This window comes from Homo sapiens, chromosome 2, assembly GCF_000001405.40.
Source record: "Homo sapiens chromosome 2, GRCh38.p14 Primary Assembly".
Lineage (NCBI taxonomy): Eukaryota > Metazoa > Chordata > Mammalia > Primates > Hominidae > Homo > Homo sapiens.
Window position 1 is genome coordinate 4389490 of NC_000002.12, and position 7302 is coordinate 4396791.

Genomic DNA, 7302 nt, shown 5'->3' on the forward strand with positions numbered 1-7302 from the left:
GTTTAATTTCCATGTTTTATAGTTTCCAAAGTTTCTATTATTAGTGATTCTTAGTTTTATTCCATTGTGGTCATAAAAGATATGTATTAGGCCATTTTTGTGTGACTATAAAGAATTACCTGAAAGTGGATAATATATAAAGAAAAGAGGTTTAATTGGCTCAAAGTTCTGCAGGCTGTACAATGATGTCTTTATTATCTGCTTCTGGTGAGGGCCTCAGGAGGCTTACAGTCATGGTAGCCAAAGTGAAGAGGGCAAGAGTGGGGGCAAGAGAGAGCAAGGGGGGGATGTGCTGCACACTTTTAAACAACCAGATCTTGTGAGAACTCACTATTGCAAGGAAAGTGTCACATGCATCTGTGTGAAGAGACCACCAAACAGTCTTTGTGTGAGCAATAAAGCTTTTTAATCACCTGGTTGCAGGCGGGCTGAGTCCATTTTATAGGCCATTTTATAGGATTTGGGTAGATAGTGGAAAATTACAGTCAAAGGGGTTGTTCTCTGGCGGGCAGGGGCCGGGGTCACAAGGTGCTCAGTGGGGGAGCTTCTGAGCCAGGAGAAGGAATTTCACAAGGTAATGTCATCAGTTAAGGCAGGAACCAGACATTTTCACTTCTTTTGTGATTCTTCACTTGCTTCAGGCCATCTGGATGTATACATGCAGGCTTGGGCTCAGAGGCCTGACAGAAAGCATCAAGCCATTCATGAGAGATCTGAAACCATGACCCAAACCCCTCCTAACAGGGCCCATATCCAACATTGGAGATTACATTTCAACATGAAATTTGGAGGGGAAAAACGTCACAATAATATTACACCTCTAGCCCCTCAAATCTCATATCCTTCTCATGTTGTAAAATATAATCATCATTTGCCAATAGTCCCCAAAAGTCTTAACTCATCCCAGCATCAAGTCCAAACTTCTAAGTCTCATCTGAGATTCATGTCCTTCCACCTAGAAGCGTGTAAAATCAAATTAAGTCATGTACTCCCAAGATACAATGATAGTACAGGTATTGGGTAAACATTATCATTCCAAAAGACAGAAATGGGCCAATAGCAAGGGGCAATAGGCCTCACGCTAGTCTGACAGCCAGCAGGGTAGTCACTAAATCTTAAAGCTCCAGAAAATCTCTTTAGACGTTATGTACTGTATCAAAGTCACATTGGTCCAGCTCTGCCCCTGTGGCTCTGCAAGGTGCAGCCCCCAAGTCTACTCTCATAAGTTAGAGTTGGAAGTCTGCAGTTCTTCCAAGTACAGCATGCAAGTTGCTGGTAGACCTAACATTTTGGGTTCTGGAGGGCAGCAGCCTCTTTCCCATAAGAAATTGTCCTGGTGGGGACTCTCTATGGAGCCTCCAACCCCTACATTTGCCCTTAGCATTGCTATAGTAGAGGTTCTCTGTGAAAGCTCTGATTCTGCAGTGGGCTTATTCCTGGGAACCCAGGTTTTCTCATACATTCTCTGAAATCTAGCTGGAAGCTGCCAAGTTTCCTTATTCTTGCATACTGTGCAACCACAGGCTTCGCATCATGTGAAAGCCGCCCATGTTTCTGGCTTGCACCCTCCAGAGTTGTGGCCCAAGCTGTACTTGGGGCTCTTTGAGCTGCAGCTGTAGCTAGAGTAGCCAGGATGTGGGGAGTAGTATCCTGAGGCTGCTCAGGCAGGAATGTGTGGTCTCTGAAAGCATTTTTTCCTCCTAGGACTCTGTTATGTGATGGGAGGGGATGTCTCCAAGATCTCTGAAATGCTCGTGAGGCCATTTTCTCATTGTCTTGGATGTTTACACTAAGCTTGCTTTTAATCATGCTAATTTCTCTAGCAAGTGGTTGCTTCACAGCCTGCTTGTCTTCCTCTCCCAAAAATCCTTTCTCTTTCTTTGCCACATGGCCAGGCTGCAAATTTTTCAAACTTTTATACTCTGCTTCCCTTTTAAATGTTTCATCTTTAAGTCATTTCTTTGTTTTCATGTCTGATTGTAGACGCTTAAAAGCAGTCAGGCCATATCTGAAGTGCTTTGCTGCTTAAAAATTTCTTCTGTTGTCAGTTACCCTAAGACATTACTCTTAAGTTCAATCTTCTGCAGATCCCTAGGACATGAGCACAATGCCGCCAAGTTCTTTTCTCGGGTGTGACACAGGTGACCTTTACTCTAGTTTCCAATAGCTCCATCAGATACCTCCTCAGCCTGACCTTTATTATCCATATTTTCCGTCAGCATTTTGTAACAACCATTTAACCAGTCTCTAAGAAGTTTCAAACTTTTCCTCATCTTCTTATCTTCTTCTGAGCCCTCCAAACTCTTCCAACCTCTGCCTGTTACACAGTTCCAAAGTCACTTCCAGATTTTTAAGTATATTTTTAGTAACAACTTCCTCCTTGGAATTAATTTACTGTGTTAGGCCATTTTGCATTGCTGTAAAAAATACCTAAATCTGGATGATTGATAAAGATAAGAGATTTAATTGGCTCATGGTTCTTCAAGCTATAGAAGCATAGCTCCAGCATTTGCTTTTGATGAAGGCTTGAGGAAGTTGACAATCATGGTGGAAATTTAAGGGGGAGCAGGTGTCTCACTTGGCTAGCGTGGGAGCAAAAGAGAGCAAGGAGGGAGGCACCACACACTTTTCAATAACAAGTTCTCATGAGAACTCACTATTCTTAGGACAACACCAAGCCATTCATAGGGGATCAGCCCCCATGACCCAAACATCTCTCACCAGGCCCCACCTTTAACATTGGGAATTATGTTTCAACATGAGATTTGGAGGGAACATCCAAACTATATCAAGATACTTCATATGATTTTGATTTTTCTTTGAATTTTTGAGACTTGTTTTGTGCCCTAACATATGGTATATCCTTGATAGTGTTCCATATGCGGATGAGAAGAATATGAATTCTACAGTTGCTGGATGAAATGTACTATAAATTTCTATTAGGTTTATTTGGTCTATAATACAGATTAAATCCAAAGTTTCTTTATAGATGTTTTTTTGTGTGGATAATCTGTCTAATATTGAAAATGGGATTTTGAAGCCCCCAGGTACTACTGTATTTGGATCTCCCTCTCTCTTTAGTTCTAAAAATATTTGCTTTCTATATCTGGATGCTCCAGTGTTGGATACATACATAGTCACAACTGTTATAACCTCTTGCTGAATTGACTCCTTTATCATTATATGATGACCTTCTTTGTCACTTTTTACAGTTTTTGTCTTGAAATATATTTTGTCTGATACGCGAATAGTTACTCCTGCTCTTATTTTGGTTTCCATTTGCATGGAATATCTTTTTCCATCCCTTTATTTTCAGTCTATGTGTGTCTTTATAGGTGAAGTGAGTTTTCTTTTTGTAGGTAGCGTATAGTTGGCTCTTGTTTTTTAATCTATTCAGCCACTCTATGTGTTTTGATTGGAAAATTTAGTCCATTCACATTCAATCTTATTGATCAGTAAGGACTTACTCCTGACATTCTGTTGTTATCTGGCTGTATTGTTGGTCTTTCTTTCATTCTTTCTTTCTTTCGTTCTTCTTTTCTGTCTTTATATATCAGTGTTTTTTTTTTTTCTGGAAGTATGTTTTAATGTCTTACTTTTTATTTTTTATGTATCTGTTATAAATTTTTGTTTTGTAGTTACTATAAGGCTTTCAAATAACATATTATAACCAATTATTTTATTCTGACAATTTAACTCTGATCAGAAAATTAAAACAAAAACAAAGCTAAAACTACAAAACTCTATACTTTAAATCCATCCTCCGTGCTTTGTGACTTTTTGTTGTCTCTGTCTTTTTATACTATTTGTTTCTTAAAAAGTTGTTGTAGTTATTATTTTTGATAGACTTGTCTTTTAATTCTCCTACTCAAGATTTGAGTGGTTTACACACTGTAATTCAAGTGTCAGAGTATTCTGTGTTTGTGTGTACTTAATACCAGTCAGTTTATTTATGTATTCATTTACCTATTTTTTGAGACAGAGTCTTGTGCTCTCACCCAGGTGGAGTGCATTGGCGTGAACACAGCTCCCTACAGCATCAACCTCCTGGGCTCAAGCAGTCTTCCTACCTCAGCCTCCCAAGTAGCTAGGAGCACAGGCACAGGCCACCACACTGAGCTGTTTTTTTTCTTTTTTAATTTTATAGTGATGGTGTCTCATCATGTTGCCCAGGCTGGTCTTGAACTTCTGGCCTCAAGTGATCCTCCTGACTTGGTCTCCCAAGGTGCTAGGATTATAGGTGTAAGCCACCTTGCCTGGCCTATCAGTGAGTTTTATATCTCCAGATGATTTCTTTTCGTTAATGTCATTTTCTTTTAGATTGAAAAGCTTCTTTAGCACTTCTTGTAAGACAGATCTAGTGTTAAAAAAGTCTTTCAGCTTTTGTTTTGTCTTTAAAAGCATTTATCCTTCATGTTTGAAGATTAATTTTCCTTGTTACGATGTTCTCAATTGAACTTTTTGTTTGTTTGTTTGTTTGTTTGTTTGTTTTAATTTATTTTCTTCAGAACCTTGAATATCTCATCCAACTCTTTCCTGGCCTGTAAGGTTTCCATTGAGAAGTTTGCTACTAGATATATTGAAGCTTTTTTCTATGTTATTAACATAGAATCCTGGAGCCAGCCAGGATTCAGGATCTTTTTGCTGGGGTGGAATGTTCCCCTCTGAATCTAGGGGTAGTCTAAATGCTTCCTCTGTAGGCACCAGCAGAATTCTTCTCTTCCTGCTTTTAGGATCCTTTCTGTATCCTCAACCTTTGAGAGTTTAATATATTCCTTGAGGTAGTCTTATTTGGGTGGAGTCTGGTTGGGGTTCTATGACTTCTTGTACCTAGCTAGTCATATCTTTCTTAGTATTACTTATTTTAATACATTTTCTATGTCAATCTCTCTCTGTCTACATCCTCTTTAAGGTCAATAACTGTTATATTTGCTATTTTGAGGCTATTTTTTAGATCCCATAGGTATGCTTTATTCTGTTTTTTCTTTTTTTGTTCTCTGTGTATTTTCATGTAACTTCTCTTCAAGCTCATTAGTATTCCTTCTGCTTGATCAATTCTACTGTTGACTGATGCACTTTTCAGTTTGTCAATTGTATTTTTCAGCTCCAGAATTTCTGCTTAATTTTTAAAATGATTTTAATCTCTTGTTAAATTTCTCTGATAGAATTCTGAGTTTCTTCTCTGTGTTATTTTAAAGTTTGTTGAACTTCTTCAAGACAGCTACTTTGAATTATCTGTCTAAAAGATCACATTTCTCCATAACTTCAGGATTATTGATGGGTGCCTTACTTAGTTTATTTGGTGAGTTCATGCTTTCCTGGATGTTCTTGATGCTTGTGAATGTTGATTGATGTCTGAGCTTTGCAAGTTAGGTGTTTGTTTCTATCTTCACAGTCTGGACTTGTTTGTATCTGTCCTTCTTTAGAAGGCTTTCTACATATTCCAAGGGGATTGAGTTTTGGGACCTAAGCCTATGATCACTGCAACCATATTACACTATGGGTACCCTAAACCCAGGAATGGTGTAACTCTTCCTGAATCCTAGAGATATCACCTTGATGGGCTTGGGTAACAGAATCCCCTGGATAACCAGGCAGTCTCTCACTCTCTTCCCTCTCTTTCTCCCAATTAGAAGGAGTTTCCCACCATGCTGGGCTGACTGACATTGGGGGAGGATTGACACAAGAACTCTTATGGCTACCACAGCTGGCACTCCACTGAAGCCAGCAAAATACTGGGTCTCATCCAAGGCCTGTGGTGACTAGTGCCTGGCTACTGCTGATCTTCATTCAAAGCCCAAGTGCTCTTTTTAGTCAGCAGGTTGTGAATTCTGTCGGGACTGTGTTCTTCCCTTCAGAGCAGTGGATTCCTTTTGGTCCCATTGTTGTCTTAGAAATGCCATGCAGGAGCTCAGGCCTGGAACTGGAGGTTTCAGGAAACTTCTTGGCAATTTATTGTGGCTGAGCTGGTACCCAAGTTGCAAGACAAAGTCCTCCGTACTCTTCCCTCTCCTTTCAGCACATGAAAGGACTCTCCCTCCAAGCTACACAGCCTGCAGTTGTGAGAGAGTAATGTGAGTACTGTCTTGACTACCACAGCTTGGTCATGGGTAATGCCCACCCCAAGCCCACTGCTTCTAACAATGCAGCTCCAGAGAAGGTTTACTCAAAGACTGCAGTCCTTGTGGCATTACTACCACTCAAATTTATTTTGGGCCCCAGGCCTCTTTAGTTAGATGCTAGTGGAGCCAGCCAGGATTCAGGATCTTTCTGCTGGGGTGGAATATTCCCCTCTGAATCTAGGGGTAGTCTAGATGCTTCCTCTGTAGGCACCAGCAGAATTCTTCCCTGTGATGTGTTCCTCTGTGATAAGGAAGCACGGAGTTCCAATGCAAAGTTCCACATTTACTTTATTCTCCCTCCCCCAAAAACGCAGATTTTCTTTTCACATGGTACTGATGGAAGATAGGGAAGGGTGGTATAGGAAATACAACACTGTCTTTCCTACTCTTTTCAATGCCTCTTTCCTTGATATTATGCTAAAACCAGGTACTACGATTGCCCATCTAATTTTTTATTCTTATGAAAGTGCTTTGTTGACTGAATAGTTCTTCATTTTTGTGTTTCTTTGGGAGGTGATCTCTGGGGAGTTCTATTCAGCCGCTTTTCTCTGCCTCCACTCTCAATTTTAAATTTGTATTTAAAATTTGTTTTGCTTAATTTTAATACATCGACTTTATTAATTTTTTGATAGTGCTTATTGCATTAAATAAATCTTTGTCTACTAAAAAGGCATGAAGCTATGTTGTTTTTTTCTAAAGCTTCTTCATTGCAGTTAATCATTTTCGGTTAATTTTAGCATTGGTGTTAAGTCAGTGTCAATGTCTCTTTTTTTTTTCTTTTTTTAATATGAATATTTGGTTTGCCAGTACCATTTGTTGAATAACTTTTCCTTTCTGATTGAATTGCCTTGGTGCCTTTGTTGGAAATCAACTGACCACATGTATATGGGTATATTTCTTAATAAATAATTCTACCTTTAATCTATGTCTATTTTTACGCCAATGTTAGCTTTGTGTAGCTGGTGAATCTAGAAATTAAGTTATATGAGTTATTGAATTTTGTTTTAAAACACATGCATAAATTTGAGTATTTACAATCTTTTGTATTTTCATATGTTTCTGTCCATATTTGTGGGAAAAGCTTTCTGAAATTTTGACTGAAATTTTGTTGAAACTATATGTTAAGTTGGAGAGAATGGTAACGTTGACAATAGTGAGCTTTTCAATCCATGCAATCTAT

The 7302-nt window shown here is 38.9% G+C and overlaps 1 annotated feature.

The window, feature by feature from the left end:
- Positions 349–864: an enhancer, noted in NCBI's record as "NANOG hESC enhancer chr2:4437428-4437943 (GRCh37/hg19 assembly coordinates)". NCBI's record gives its function as "activates a minimal SCP1, AML or CMV promoter by ChIP-STARR-seq in naive H9 embryonic stem cells {active_cell/tissue: H9 hESC(naive)}" and the evidence as "EXISTENCE:reporter gene assay evidence [ECO:0000049][PMID:30033119]".